This window comes from Homo sapiens, chromosome 12, assembly GCF_000001405.40.
Source record: "Homo sapiens chromosome 12, GRCh38.p14 Primary Assembly".
NCBI classification, from domain to species: Eukaryota; Metazoa; Chordata; class Mammalia; order Primates; family Hominidae; genus Homo; species Homo sapiens.
In genome coordinates, this window is record NC_000012.12 from 104308215 (window position 1) to 104324529 (window position 16315).

General features: G+C 40.6%; 1 protein-coding gene across 7 annotated transcripts in view; it reads left to right on the top strand.

The window, feature by feature from the left end:
- The window catches only part of TXNRD1 (thioredoxin reductase 1), a 134529-nt gene that overhangs the window by 92436 nt on the left and 25778 nt on the right, over positions 1-16315 (top strand). For 6 of the 7 annotated variants that reach the window (NM_001093771.3, NM_001261445.2, NM_003330.4 and 3 more), the window contains 6 exons: positions 3076-3198; positions 5031-5103; positions 7563-7682; positions 10699-10841; positions 11256-11371; positions 12877-13102. In NM_001093771.3, coding sequence (NP_001087240.1) covers positions 3076-3198; positions 5031-5103; positions 7563-7682; positions 10699-10841; positions 11256-11371; positions 12877-13102 — 801 coding nt within the window. The remainder of the gene's footprint in view (positions 1-3075; positions 3199-5030; positions 5104-7562; positions 7683-10698; positions 10842-11255; positions 11372-12876; positions 13103-16315) is intronic. The other variant, NM_001261446.2, reaches the window with a different exon arrangement.

The following is a 16315-nucleotide window of genomic DNA, read 5'->3' on the forward strand; positions in this document are numbered from 1 at the left end:
TCGATCTCCAGACCTCATGATCCACCCGCCTTGGCCTCTCAAAGTGCTGGGATTACAGGCGTGAGCCACCACGCCTCGCTGCCCTTTTCACTCTTAATTCTCTTGCATGTAAACTGTGAAGTTTTCCAGAGGTTATATGACAGGTGATGTGGCAACAGATTGAATGGAGAAACAGATATGAGCTGTCTTTTGTTGTCAGACATTAAAGAGAATCGCAAAGATACAAAACAGTGCCATTCTTCTAATTAAAAAATTTTTTAAAATAAAAATACGTTAACATTTAATAAATATATTATTTTTAATTTGTTAATGAATATTTTAAGTTTCTTCTTAGTTTTAATTTCTAATATAGTAAATAGATAAAACCCACATTAACAAGCTCTTTGGAGTCTCAATTTTAAAGCTCTGTTTAAGATTGTAAAGGAGTCCTGAGATGAAAGAGTTTGAGAACCTCTGTAGCAGCCACCACAGTCAGCGGACATAATTTCAAGCAGTTGTAGTTGGAGGAGGATGGGGGAATTTTTCTCCTTTCCTTATCCCATCTCTGTGCTACCTTCTACTGTTTGGGGCAGCTGTTTTCTACTGTCTGTCTTATTTATATTTCAGGTGAAGTACCACTTAAATGGAACTGAATGATAGCACTTTCAATTTTAAGTTTGGTTAAAATTTTAAAAACAATGTTTCTTTTTTTTTTTTTTTTTGAGACGGAGTCTTGCTCTGTCACCCAGGCTGGAGTGCAGTGCCATGATCTTGGCTCACTGCAATCTCCGCCTCCTGGGTTCAAGCAGTTCTCCTGCCTCAGCCTCCCGAATAGCTGGGACTACAGGTGCACGCCTCCACGCCCGGCTAATTTTTTTTGTATTTTGGTAGAGACGGGGTTTCACCGTGTTGCCCAGGCTGATTGTGAACTCCTGAGCTCAGGCAGCCCTCCCGCTTCGGCCTCCCAAAGTGCTGGGATTACAGGCATGAGCCACCTCACTCAGTCTCATAATGTTTCATTCTAAGGTCAACTGAATGCTTCAATTGCCTGTGTCTTGCCAATTGGTAAATTTTACCTACAGTGCTTAAAAATGGTGAGGTTCATTCAGAGCTTTTTTGGTAAAATCTGTGCACTGGTTGATACAATTTGACTTGAAGCTTGAACCAGGAGAAGCCAGGTTACATACAGAATTTCAGTAAGGAACGGATTGTAAACATTGGTGAAGGGAATATGTGACTTTTCAGCATGAGGATACATTTTCTGGTATTTGTTCTAGTAGGTATGTTGGAGGAGGGGGATTCCTAGAACCATGGTTTTCATTTAGACAGCCAGTTATTGTGTTCTGTCACCATCTTTGCTAATTTCATGCAGATAAAATGAGGTTGAGATAAAAAATGATTGTATGTTATTTTTCCAGCAGAACATCTAACTGGATTTATTAGTTAACTCTTAAACCAGGAAGTCATGCTCTTTGAGACCCAGTAGGGAGTCACACTAGTTACTTGAAGCATAATTGATCCTTTGATCGAATGGCTATTATTACCAAATTGTTTTTCCCCCACAGTGCTTTGTATTGAAGGAGGAACCTTGGCCATAATGCCAGTTGATGACTACTGGCTGTGTTTACCAGCCTCTTGTGCTAGACCTTTTGTGCAGACTGTCAGAGTGGTGCAGTCTTGCCCCCACTGTTGCTGGTTTCCAGGTGTTCTCCCTTCAGTCCCTGAGCCACTACGTATGCCCGCCATGCTGCCAACAGGTAGCCACAGTGCTGTGCTTCCTCCTTCACATTGCTCCACCGCACCCCCTTCCACATCCCAAGAACCTTCTTCTTCCGCTGACCCCAAGCTCTGCCTTTCACCCCCTACATCTGATAGTAGGCAAGAGAGAAATGTGCAGTTTGGGCTGGTAAGTTTGGGGGCTTTTTTTTGTTATTAAAGTTAAGGCTTTTTGTTTGTTTGTTTTTTAAAATGAGATGGAGTCTCACTCTGTGAGACTCCCAGGCTGGAGTGCAGTGGCGCAATCTTGGCTCACTGCAACGTCTGCCTCCCGGGTTCAAGCGCTTCTCCTGCCTCAGCCTCCGGAGTAGCTGAGATTACAGGCACCCGCCACTACACCTGGCTAATTTTTGTATTTTTAGTAGAGACAGGGTTCACCCCGTTGGCCAGGCTGATCTCAAACTCCTGACTTCAAGTGATCCTCCCGCCTTGGCCTCCCGAAGTGCTGGGATTACAGGCGTGAGCCACTGTGCCTGGCCTACTTGATTTTTTGAAAACATTTTATTGTGCTTGTTAACAACTTTCTCAGTCATTATCTCTTGTTAACATAGATTTTTATTTTAGTAAGCGATAATATTAAATATATCACCAAAATATTGTATGAAACGAATATGAAATATAATTAATGTGTATCAGAATTATATTAGTGGAATGAAATGATTTTTTAAAAATTAAGTCTAACACCTAAATTATAAAAGTCTGTTACTTGCTAAGTATATGGAAAGTAAATATTAAATATGGGAGACTTCATGCATATGCAAATTAAAGGAATGAGCTTTGCAGAGTTGTGCCTATTTAAAATATCCTACAAAAGCAGCAACTTTCACGTTTAACTTTTCATGCAGGTCAGTATCAATTGACAGTTTTGTTCTGAATTTTTAGATGTTATGCCCCAGCCAAACAGTATAGAAATGTCTTAAATAAATATTTGGCTGGTCTTTTAAAATTGTTATATTGAGATTAAGCTATGCCCATATTTACCAAGCCCCTATCTTTAAAACCTAGTTTAAAAATTCTAGGAAAAAAAGGCTAATGATTAAACCTGATTTAGACCTAAGTTGGTTTACTTATGTAGAGGTACTATACGAACACTTCAAAGTAGTTAGCAGTGACCGTCTTTGGGGTTAATAAACTAAGATAAAGCAAGCAGTTCACAACTTTAAGGAAGGTTGAATATTTCCATCTGTATGCTGTAATTAAACAGCATCTTCCCTTTGAAAATTCCTTTTGTTTTTCTTTAAGAAAAGATTTTCTTACAAAGCTTTTTGGACATTGCTGATTTTAAGTTAAATTATTTTCTCTTCTGTTATTTTTCTTTAGGCTTATCAGGAGGGCAGACTTCAAAAGCTACTAAAAATGAACGGCCCTGAAGATCTTCCCAAGTCCTATGACTATGACCTTATCATCATTGGAGGTGGCTCAGGAGGTCTGGCAGCTGCTAAGGCAAGGCTCCTTGTGTTGTCTGTTGTCTGTTGTCTGGGTGGTGATTAGAATATTAACATCCCTGACAGGGTTCTCTCCTCTCTCTGTGGAATTTATTTGATCCACTCCTGTGACATTTTGCACATTAACTTGGGCAGGACATGGACATCGTAAGGGACCACTTTATAAATCATTTTTCCAGATTAAAATATACATTCCTTATATTAAAGTATAGGGCCCAGTATTTTGGAACACGTTTCCGTTCACTTTAAGTTTAATTGATTTTTCAGAGATAATAAGGGTGTTGTGCCTGGTGTGGTGACTCACGCCTGTAATCCCAGCACTTTGGGAGTCCGAGGTGGGCGGATCACCTGAGGTCAGGAGTTCAAGACCAGCCTGGCCAATGTGGTGAAACTCCATCTCTACTAAAAATACAAAAATTAGCCAGGCGTGGTGGTGGGCACCTGTAATCCCAGTTACTTGGGAGGCTGAGGCAGGAGAATGGCTTGAACCTTGGAGGCCGAGTTTGCAGTGAGCTGAGATCGCACCATTGCACTCCAGCCTGGTCAACAGGAGCAAAACTCTGTCTTTAAAAAATATATATATATATGTGTATATATATGTATATATACACACATATATATGGGTATTGTGTGGAAATGGTCTGAAATTAAGCAAATATATTTCTTAGTTAATATTTCTTAGTTAATATTTGTCTTTTTCACTTGAATGATTTCCCTGTTCATAACCCCTTCTCTCCAATATAAAAAAAGATGGGGAGCAATTGGGTTTCTTAAACCCATTTATTAAAAATGATTTGCTTTTTGTATATGTGAGGTTATCTAATAACCACTAACTCTGTGGTCTGAGGGTGATTGGGAAGAGGATGTATAAATAAAGAAGGTTAGGAGTGAGGCTCCTGGTTCTGAATCAAGATAAATTTCCCATGTGAGGACCCCTTGGGCCTGTCATCCTTACCCAACAGGTTCCTTTAAAAGATGAAGTGGTTATAATTCCCTAAGGTATAGCTTGTGCTGAATCAGTAATGGGTAGAAGCTGCCCAAATACTGCAGACCAGTATGTAGCATGAAGCAATGCTTTACTGAAAGTAATTGAGGAATAATACCTGATGTATTTTACTCCAGTGGTGGTGTGTTTGAAAGACGTGTAGACTCAGTCCTTTCAAATAACCTTTGGAGGTCTAGTTGCCAATATTCAAAGCTTATTCTCTGAGAATGATAAAAGATATTCTGCAAAACAAACTTCTAACTCTTGTTTCCCTCCCTAAAAATATATTTGGAAATATCATAGATGTTGTCAACTTTTTCATGAGCGCCTCATGTGAAAATTTTAGGAAATCTTGTAATACAGAAGAAAAACTTCTTCAGTATTCTGCCTTAGAAACCAAATTAGATTAAACTTTAAAATGATTTTTAAAATATCACCTTATAGGATACAGGTTGCATTAAGGGCTGTAGACTATCAGTAAACCTGCTTTTTCAGCTACTTGGCAACTTGCTTGGAAATGGCCACTTTCTTTTTTCAGGTTATTGCTGAATCTGTTATTGTTTGAGTGGAATTATGTGAGAGAAGTCTAAGGTTTCCAGCTGATTCTAACAATTTTACTACTCTATTCTGCATAATTTTAAAATCTACTCTCAGAACTATCTGAATATCTGTTAATTTTTATCCTGGAGTTTAACTAATCATCATGGTGTGTGAAGTACCCAGGTATTAATTATTCGTTATGCTTTAAGCTCTATAGCTTAAAAAAAAATCATGGATTTTTAACAGCCCATTTCCAATCTGTCATGTTAACCTTTCCAACTCACTTTAATAATTTTATTTTCCAGGAGGCAGCCCAATATGGCAAGAAGGTGATGGTCCTGGACTTTGTCACTCCCACCCCTCTTGGAACTAGATGGGGTAAGCTTTTAAGATACTCTAGAAGTGATGTTGCCGAAGTAGTTTTCCCCTGGCAATAATCTAACTGGTTCCTAAAGCCTAATTAAAAAAATCAAAAACTAAGTTAAAGAAAAAACAGCCCCAAAACATATATATCTTTTATTTGAGCCAAGTTAAAATGGATCAGGTTAAATGCTAAAAATTTAGGTTCTTTGGCACAGAGTCAAGAAGTAAGAACCCTGTCTACAAGCTATGATTTAAAGGTAAATATTTGAGTAATCTAGCATATATAGGGGCTTAATAACTGAAAATTTAAACTTTTCATATGTGGATTTGTTTTAAATCTACCTCCTACATTCAACAAGAGTTGGAATCAGATACCCTACTGTATAGCCCTTGCTGCTTCTGAGTCTTGATGAATTATATGTTCATAATATTTACTGAACATTTATTATGAACCAAGGCAATGACGATATAGCAGTGAACTCGGCATATTCAAAGTTCATGCCCTTGTGAAGCTTATATTCTAAGTGGGGAGACAAAAGATACCTAAGAACTTTAGGAGTTGTGGTAAGCGGTATTGAAAAAATTAATATAGTGGCATAGAGAGGAAGTGGATAAAGGAGAATTTAACTTCGAGAAGATTATCAAGGAAGACATCTGAAGAGGTGACATTTAGAAGAGGCCAAAGAATGAGAATGAGCCAGCTGTCAAAAGGTGAGGCAGAACCTTCCAGGCAGCTTCTCTTTCTTTGAGGATAGCACATACAAAGGCCCTGAGGTAGGTAAAAGTCCTTCATGGTTGTGGCATGGATAATGGGAGCTGGAGGTGGTAGTGTGAGATGAGACCAGAGAGGAAGGCAGGTGTCACTATTGAGGGCTTTGTAGGCCAAGATGAGGAATTTGGACTAATCAAAGCATATAATTTGGACTAAATTGGACTAATCAGAGCATATAAATGAGCCTTTGAAGACTCTAAGGCAGGGGAGCCATGTGATAATATAAGATTTTTTAAAGATTACTTGGCTGCTTGCATTAGAAGGAACCAAGAAGCAGGAAGTCCAGATAAGGCGATGTCACAATTTCTGATTCATCCATTCAGCAGATATTTAATGTGTCAATCTGTGTCAGACACTGCTCTTGGTACTAGGTATATCCCTTCTGACCTGTGGAGCATATACTCCAGAGTGACAACTGGTAGTATTCTACTCAGAGGACTTACTTTGAGCTGTGAAGTCTGTTGCCATCTTTCACTCTTATGTCATTTTGGTCACCTGCCTGTGTTTTGTTCTAATGGAAACAAGCTGTCACCATATTCTTTAAGCTTAGGGATACTAAACCTATTTTTAGGGAGCAAGGGAAGTCATGCATCCTTTAAAAAACCAAGTGAATGCTGTAGGCCACCTCCTTAAAAAAATGCACATATACACCAAAATTTTTTTCTTTTTTTTTTTTTTTTTTTTTGAGATGGAGTCTCGCTCTGTCGCCCGGGCTGGAGTGCAGTGGCGCTATCTCGGCTCACTGCAACCTCCACCTCCTGGGTACAAGCAGTTCTCCTGCCTCAGCCTCCTTAGTAGCTGGGATTACAGACACGTACCACCATGCCCAGCTAATTTTCTGTGCTTTTAGTAGAGACAGGGTTTCACCGTTTTGGCCAGGCTGGTCTCGAACTCCTGACCTCAAATGATCCACCCGCCTCGGCCTCCCAAAGTGCTGGGATTACAGGCGTGAGCCACCACGCCCAGCCAATATACACCAAATTTTATATGCAGTTTAAGACCCACTGCACTCTAATCATCCCCAGCATAGCAACCCCTTTATCAGTTACCTCTGCATAGATTCAATGGCAAGTGCAGATGCTGCTTGAATTACAATGGGGGACTACATCCTGATAAAATCCTTTGTAAGTTGAAAACAAGTCAAAAATGCATTTAATACACCTAACCTCCCGAACATCATAGCTTAGCCTGGTCTACCTTAAACATGCTCCGAAAACTTACATTAACCTACAGTTGGGCAAAATCATCTAACACAAAGCCTATTTTATAATAAAGTGTTGAATATCTCATATAATTTACTGAATACTGAACTGAAAGTGAAACACAGTATGGGTGTATGGGTATCAACATAAAGAGAAAAATCGTAAGTCGGGTCGTCTGTATAGGGTTGTGTACATAGTAAGATTTCAATTTCTGGCATCTTTATCAGCAGTCAGTTAATTTTGTATCTTTGAAGTATACGGAAATTGTGGAAATCTGCCCCTCTTTTTGTTTTGTTTTAGGATGATGTTACCGTGTTTGGTATGTAAGGGTCTCTGAACTTATGGATGTTGTAAGAGTTAGGAATAAACTTTATTACTGACCACATTAAGCAAATATAATACAATATTTCTTAGAGTTGTAATAATTGTTGACTTTGTTCTTTGAATGTTTGTAAGGCTTGGAAAGCAGGTTATAAACTGATTTCTCAATGTTGTTGTAGGTCTCGGAGGAACATGTGTGAATGTGGGTTGCATACCTAAAAAACTGATGCATCAAGCAGCTTTGTTAGGACAAGCCCTGCAAGACTCTCGAAATTATGGATGGAAAGTCGAGGAGACAGGTATGAGAGGGAAAAGCTACTCTTCTGTTTGTGCTTTTGGGGGTTTGAGCTGCAATTTTTGTGATGCGTCGTCCATTTTCATGAAGATAGCAAATAGCCTAGTTGTTTTTATTGTTTACATTTTTGATGGATATAATCACTGGAGTTATCCTTTGTCAAGTATTTACATAGTTGTTATGGTAACAACAGATACTGCATTTGGACTATGGTATTTCTGTAATATAAAATTAGAGTTCTTTTGAATATATTGTCATGTAGTATTTGTGAGAAATCATACAATGTTTATAATTTGTAAGGAAGTACTAATTGCATTTGCTTTCTTTCATGTTGCATTTTTCTCCCTCCAAAGAAGTCTGTTTCATGAGCTGATGTTTGTGGGGGGTGGGGGTTGTTTGTTCAGGAGGGGGTGGTTAGGCTTTGTTGGATTAAAACTATTTAGAGTACCCTAGAAACCCTAGATGAGTTTAAGAGATTGGAATTGTTAATTTTATTTTTATTTATTTATTTATTTGAGACGGAGTCTCACTCTGTCGCCCAGGCTGGAGTGCAGTGGCACGATCTCAGCTCACTGCAAGCTCCGCCTCCCGGGTTCACACCATTCTCCTGCCTCAGCCTCCCGAGTAGCTGGGATTACGGGCGCCTGCCACCACGCCTGGCTAATTTTTTGCATTTTTAGTAGAGGTGGGGTTTTACCATGTTAGCCAGGATGGTCTCGATCTCCTGACCTCATGATCCACCTGCCTCAGCCTCCCAAAGTGCTGGGATTACAGGTGTGAGCCACCGTGCCTGGTGGAATTGTTAATTTTAGAAAGTAGATTGCATTATTTAGTAGAAGAATAAAATGAGATCTGGCATAGCTTCCTGGCTAATTTATGACATATGTCACTCTGTTGTGAAGAGTGAAACTCCAACCCCTATGTGATTTGAGGTTTGAGACCTATGCATTATGGAGCATTTGAGGGAAAATATTCCAGCCAGTAGCCAGGATAAACATTTTGTGGCTTTTTTGGGGTTTTAATTGTTTATTAAATGTAAAGATAAGGCATAAATGTATACTTGGAAAAATTTTGCTCTCACTCAAACTAGTTATGCTTCTCTTGTTGATGCTTTTACTTCCTACTTAAAATAATAGTACCTTTTCCAAGTCTGGAATCTTAGAAAATCACTAACTTTTAAAGTTTTATAATGTTGGGGTCACATTGTTTGCTCAGACCCTTAAGAGAGAGAGGGATATAGGAGGAAATTTTGTAAAACATTGATAATTACTGCAGCTTAGATGATTAGCACATGTGGGTGAGCTATATACTATTCTATTCCACTCCTAGCAGAGAAACAGCAAGTCCTGAGCCTTTTGTAGTGGTGGTAGACAGAGGCCAGGCAGGGAGGTTAGTCCAAGCTTCCTGCAGCCTTCCCTACCCACAAGCTACCTGGTCCTCTAGAACCATAACCGCAGTGGCATCTGCAGTTACTTTTTTTTTTTTTTTTTTTTTCAGTTGAACCAATTTCTTAAGGTTTGCTCTAATTCTAACATTATGATCATATGAATTCAATATCCATGATCTATCTGTTCTCTTAGAGGCTATAAATCAATTTTTTGTGCTGTCATTCCCACTTCCAGAGGCTGGCCAGTAAGTGTTATAAGCCTATTTTCAAAACTTACTGTATAGCCAGCCAGGATCATGCCTGTAATCCCAACAGTTTAGGAGGCCAAGGGGAAAGGATCAGTTTGAGACCAGAAGTTCGAGACTACCTTGGACAACAAAGCAAGAGCCTGTCTCTACAAAGAATAATTAGTCGGGCCTGGAAGCCCTCTCCTATAGTCCCAGCTTCTCAGGAGGCTGAAGCAGGGGGATAATTTGAGCCCAGGAGTTCAAGGCTGCAGTGAGCTGTGATTGATTGCACCACTGCACTCCAGCCTGGGCAACAGAGTGAGACCCTGTCTCTAAAGAAGAGATTATTGAGGCTGGGTGCAATGACTCATGCCTGTAATCCCAGCACTTTGGGAGGCTGAAGTCGGCAGAGCACTTGAGGTCGGGAGTTTGAGACCAGCCTGGCCAACATGGCAAAACTGCGTCTCTACTAAAAATATAAACAATTAGCTGGGCATGATGGCCCACACTTGTAGTCCCAGCTACTCTTGAGGCTGAGGCACGAGAATAGCTTGAACCCTGGGTTGAGGGGTACGGAGGTTGCAGTGAGCCCAGATTGAGCCACTGCATTCCAGTCTGGGCAGTCTGGGCAACCAAAGGGTTGATTTTTATCCTTTGAAATTTAATATTACTTTAGTGTCCTGACTTAAAGGATTAATTTAATTATGACAGAATCAAAAAGAATAAAAAAGTTTTCTCTTTGATAAGATATGGGAGTTTGGAGGAAATGTGATAAGACTCTTAAAATCCTGTCTAAATGAATAGTCAGTGAATTTTTTCCGTAAAAGGCCATATGGTAAATATTTTAGGATTCTTGGGGCATAGGGTCTCTAGTAGCTACTTAACTCTGCTTATGTAGTGTGAAAGTAGCACTAGAAAATATCGAAATAAATAAGCATGGCTGTATTTTAATAAAGCTTTATTTACAAAAAGCTGATGGGCTGGATTGGCCCATGGTGCAGTTTGCCAGCCCCTGACATAAACACTGTTACTAGTGTAGTAACTCCATACTCGGCTACATCAGAATCTCTTGGATTTTCTTACAAACACAGAATCCTAAGCCTTAATATATCCCAGAAATCAGTAAAATTCAAGTTCGTTTCTAGATAAAGAAGGAAAAAGTTTGTGTATTGTTATTTTAGTTTAAAATTGTCAGGGGATCTGTCTTGTATTATTTAATTGTATTAGTCTTATAAGAGAATACTTGAAGATGAAAAAGTGGCATATGTGCTCAAAATGGAGGATTTGCCCTTTCAGATTGCCTTTTAGAGCTCTGCTCCCTGTATTTCACTTGAGTGGTTATTGAGAAATGATCTTTGCCAGCAGTTGAAAAGCCAAACAAGATTTTGTTTTATTTTCTTATACAGTTAAGCATGATTGGGACAGAATGATAGAAGCTGTACAGAATCACATTGGCTCTTTGAATTGGGGCTACCGAGTAGCTCTGCGGGAGAAAAAAGTCGTCTATGAGAATGCTTATGGGCAATTTATTGGTCCTCACAGGATTAAGGTAATTGTGTGACATCCTGACTAGCTTTTTTTTTTTCTTTTTTCTCTTTTTAAAAGCTTTGGTTAGAAAATGTTAAAGTATTATAATAAAAGTAATAGCCACTGTGACCCAGACTATCCAGTTTGGTGATTTTGCTATCATATCATCCTATGGGGCCTTGTGTGGAGGTATGGTAAAGTGTAAGTATGCTGGACCAGACCGCCTGGTTTTGAGGCTTGGCTCCAGCACTTACTAACATTGTGACTTTGAGTAAGTCTGTTAACTACTCAGTCTTAATTTATCCTTTTTACTATATTATTGTCCTCATTATGAGGATGAAATGAGACAATGTAGTGAATGGCCTTTGTTAACTATGAAGTTTACAATTCTGAGGAATGATTACTTAATAAGGTTTTCATATTGGTTCCTTTGTAGGCAACAAATAATAAAGGCAAAGAAAAAATTTATTCAGCAGAGAGATTTCTCATTGCCACTGGTGAAAGACCACGTTACTTGGGCATCCCTGGTGACAAAGAATACTGCATCAGCAGGTAAAGGAAAAAAGCAGGGTGGAAAAGAAAAACCCATTGTGGATATTGCTTTCGCATTTTTCTTCAAACCCACTGCGTCAATTTCTTGGGCTTCAGACAGATTTCTTTGCCACATTGTGCCCTCTCTGGGGGCAGGGGTTTGGGAGAAAGAGAAAAAGGAAAAATGATTTTAAAGGAGAACATTTTAAATATTGAAAACTTCAAACATTGGTCATCTTGCTACACAGAGTATCACTAACATACTAGTATAGATTTACATTTGTATTCGAAATTTATTTATGCATGTATGAGTATGAAAGTATGTAATAAAACCAAATGGATATTCACAAACATTTTGTAAAATAGGTATGATACATATATACATTTAGATTTTGTAAAATGAGGATCATGTATTACCCTTTAACACTTGCAGAGTGGCTGCTAAAAGAATTAGAGGCTGTCAGGCCATTTAGATTTATCAGAATCTAGACCCTACTCAATGCTGTTTGAATGGTTGCAGTGTCAGTGTAGAAGGACCTCCTGAAACAAGTCAAGCAAGGAGATGTTTTGCTGTGTGGTTTATTTTTGCCCGTCAAATGGTAACACTGCTGACATTGTTCAGGAGCTTTCAATTATGAAGTCATTAAGACAGAGTGTTGGTAAATGTGTCTTCTTGGATGCTTTTTGCTCAGGAGTTTCTGATTGTGTTATAAATTACTCTACTCCTTCAGGCTCTTTTTGGTATATGCTTTTATCCTTTCTCACATGGTGGGAGAGGGAGAGGCAGGTCTCTGGGGCCTTTTTTATGAGGACAGTAGCCCCATTCATGAGTGCTCTGCCCTCATGGCCTAATCACCTCCCAAAAGCCCAACCCCTAATATCATTGCCTTGGGGTTTAGGATGTTAATGTGTGCATTTTGGGGATACATAAACATTCAGACAATAGCAGGCTCCCTTCCAATATTTTTTAAAAACTCATTCTCTAACATGCTTTTATGATCTCTGTGTCCCTAGCTCAACTAGAAGACTTTTGTCAGGTTCTACTCCTTATAGTTGGCTTTTATATTATAAGATATTGAAAGTTTTTTTTTTTTTCTGCATCCTAGTCCACATTCTTGATAATAATTGGTGTTTCAGCTGAGGACAAGCAACACAGGTTTTTCCACCTCAGAGCTGAGTGGTGGCATGAGGATGGAGGTTAGGGTTTGCAAATCTATAATTTGTTCCAAACAGTTCAAAATCATTTAGTGTGAAGATGAATTGGACTAACTGACTAATATCAGAAGTTACACAGTTTGCTGTGTTTAGCTATGGGTAGCTTGAGCTACTCCCAAAGCAACTGAGTGGCAAGAAAGGGTATCTAAGAATTATAAAAACTTCTCATGTATTATGTGTGTAGCTAGTAGAATGTTTATCATCTTGAAAGTATGTTCTTGTCAAAGTAAAAATGTGTACTTGGATTTAGTAATTATTTATATAGGAACTTTCTTTTTCTTCTTTCTTCCTTTTTTTTTTTTTTCCCCCAGTGATGATCTTTTCTCCTTGCCTTACTGCCCGGGTAAGACCCTGGTTGTTGGAGCATCCTATGTCGCTTTGGAGTGCGCTGGATTTCTTGCTGGTATTGGTTTAGACGTCACTGTTATGGTTAGGTCCATTCTTCTTAGAGGATTTGACCAGGACATGGCCAACAAAATTGGTGAACACATGGAAGAACATGGCATCAAGTTTATAAGACAGTTCGTACCAATTAAAGTAAGTGGGTTTGCCTGTAGGTTTCTTGATTCTACATTCACAGTAAAAGGCAAAAAGAGAGTTGAGTTGGTGGTAGAAGCATCCTTTCAGCATTATAAACCATCAGGAATGCTGATTCCCCTACTGTTGTATACTGGTATATAAACTTGTACCTCCCTACCATCTAAACACCTATATAGCTTTGTTCTTATTTGTAGATTAATAATCTCTTCCTTTGTCAACTTTCTAAATTTTGGTTTTCTTCTCTTCTGTTTAATGCTTTCCTTTATGCATTCCTTTGTCATCTTTGGTCTCTTAATACTTTGTTTCTTCATATGTACCAGAGATTTAAATAAGAGTTCAACACTAGGCCCCACCTGCACTCCCTGGCTCCCCACAGGACATTTCCCCTTGGTATATGATAACATAAACACTACATAAACACTACATACTTCTGGCATCCCTGAAAGTGATTATCTCATTTATTTATGTGTGCTAACCTTTTTCGCTCTTTTAATCTTTTGAAAGGAGCTAATACTATGCCAAGTCACACCTGGGATTTGTTACCATTATCACAAATGTTTTCATATATGAGTGACAAAATTGAACACTTAGTGTGTGTCTCAGACTAATAGATAATTTTCTCTAGTGCAGGGAAAATGGTGGGACTATTTTGTTAAAGTTAAGGAATTATAGTTGTCTTTTTTTTTTTTTTCATCTCTCAGTGGGTTGACTTGAGTTGTGTATGTGACTATGGATCTCCTAATGCTGATAGATAAGAATATGAACTTTGGGATCAGAATGACCTGAATTCAGATAATATTCTGCCAGTTTCTTGCTCTATGACTTTGGAAGAGTTACCTCTCTGAACCCGTTTCTTCTGTAAAATGAGGTTGAAAATAGCATCTAACAATTCTTGTGAGGATTGCATTAGCCAACACTTATAAAGTAATTAGAAAAGTACCTGGTAGAGAGTAAGTTTAAAGTGAATCATCTCATAATATTGTTATGAAGATTAAGGCACAAATTTCCTGGAAGCTGTCAGTGCTTGATTACTGTAGCTGTTTTTTATTTTTACCTTTTTTTTTTTTTTTTTTTTTTTTGAGACGGAGTTTTGCTTTGTCACCCAGGCTGGAGTGCAGTAGCCCAATCTCAGCTGACTGCAACCTCTGCCTCCCAAGTTCAAGCGATTCTGGTGCCTCAGCCTCCTGAGTAACTGGGGCCACAGGTGCGTGCCACCACACCCGGCTAATTTTTATATTTTCAGTAGAGAGGGCTTTCACCATGTTGGCCAGGCTGGTCTTGAACTCCTGACCTCAAGTGGTCCTCCCAGTGCAGTGTCCCAAAGTGCTGAGATTACAGGCCTGAGCCACTGCGCCTGGCCTGTAGCTGTTTTTTAGAGTAGAGGTATATATGCTATATTTGCATTAGAGCTATGATTCATAAACAACAGTTGTATGTATATGCTGTACTGATAGAAAGTAACATCTTCCTATATACAATTTTTTTTTTTTAATTTATTTTTTTATTGATAATTCTTGGGTGTTTCTCACAGAGGGGGATTTGGCAGGGTCATGGGACAATAGTGGAGGGAAGGTCAGCAGATAAACAAGTGAACAAAGGTCTCTGGTTTTCCTAGGCAGAGGACCCTGCGGCCTTCCGCGGTGTTTGTGTCCCTGATTACTTGAGATTAGGGAGTGGTGATGACTCTTAACGAGCATGCTGCCTTCAAGCATCTGTTTAACAAAGCACATCTTGCACTGCCCTTAATCCATTTAACCCTGAGTGGACACAGCACATGTTTCAGAGAGCACAGGGTTGGGGGTAAGGTCACAGATCAACAGGATCCCAAGGCAGAGGAATTTTTCTTAGTGCAGAACAAAATGAAAAGTCTCCCATGTCTACTTCTTTCTACACAGACACGGCAACCATCCGATTTCTCAATCTTTTCCCCACCTTTCCCGCCTTTCTATTCCACAAAGCCGCCATTGTCATCCTGGCCCGTTCTCAATGAGCTGTTGGGCACACCTCCCAGAAGGGGTGGTGGCCGGGCAGAGGGGCTCCTCACTTCCCAGTAGGGGCGGCCGGGGCGGCTGGCCGGGCGGGGGGCTGACCCCCCACCTCCCTCCCGGACGGGGCGGCTGGCCGGGCAGAGGGGCTCCTCACTTCCCAGTAGGGGCGGCCGGGCAGAGGCGCCCCTCACCTCCCGGACGGGGCGGCTGGCCGGGCGGGGGGCTGACACCCCCACCTCCCTCCCGGACGGGGCGGCTGGCCGGGCGGGGGGCTGACACCCCCACCTCCCTCCCAGACGGGGCGGCTGGCCGGGCAGGGGGGCTGACCCCCCCACCTCCCTCCCGGACGGGGCGGCTGGCCGGGCGGGGGGCTGACACCCCCACCTCCCTCCCGGACGGGGCGGCTGGCCGGGCAGAGGGGCTCCTCACTTCCCAGTAGGGGCGGCCGGGCAGAGGCGCCCCTCACCTCCCGGACGGGGCGGCTGGCCGGGCGGGGGGGCTGACCCCCCCCCACCTCCCTCCCGGACGGGGACCTATATACAATTTTTTAACATTTGGGGAGTTGTGGACCCTTTTGAAAACCTGGTGGACTATTCCTAGTAAAATAGGGTTACCAGAGTATCTGATTCCCACAGCTGGGTATTAAACTCTTGCTGTATTATAAAGTGACCGAATGGAAGGAACCTTCTGTGGAGAGTGGGGAGAGGGTACATTTTGGACAGAGAATGTAGTATGTGTACAAAGGCTCTGTGGGGAGAAATATTGTTCTAGATACCAAAAAGGCCTGATTGAAGTACAAAAGTGAATAAGGGTGGAGGTGGGATGAGGCCCTTATCATTTCCAAACAAATCTTAAGCAATGGACCAATTAAGCTCTTTTCCAAGGATTAGAACATTTTGATTAAAATTAAACAAGAAAGACTTCTCCAGTATGTTCAGAGAGGCTCATTTAACTATATAAGAAGGAAAGGGAATTCAGGAAGGAAATTTTTATTATTTATTGATGTCAAATAAAATAACCCTGGATAGTTTCCCAGGTGGGTTTCGTTTTTTTTTTTTTTTTGAGATGGAGTCTTGCTCTGTCACCTAGGTTGGAGTGCAGTGGCGTGATCTTGGCTCACTGCAAGCTCCGCCTCCCGGGTTCACGCCATTCTTCTGCCTCAGCCTCCCAAGTAGCTGGGACTACAGGCGCCCGCCACCACGCCCGGCTAATTTTTGTATTT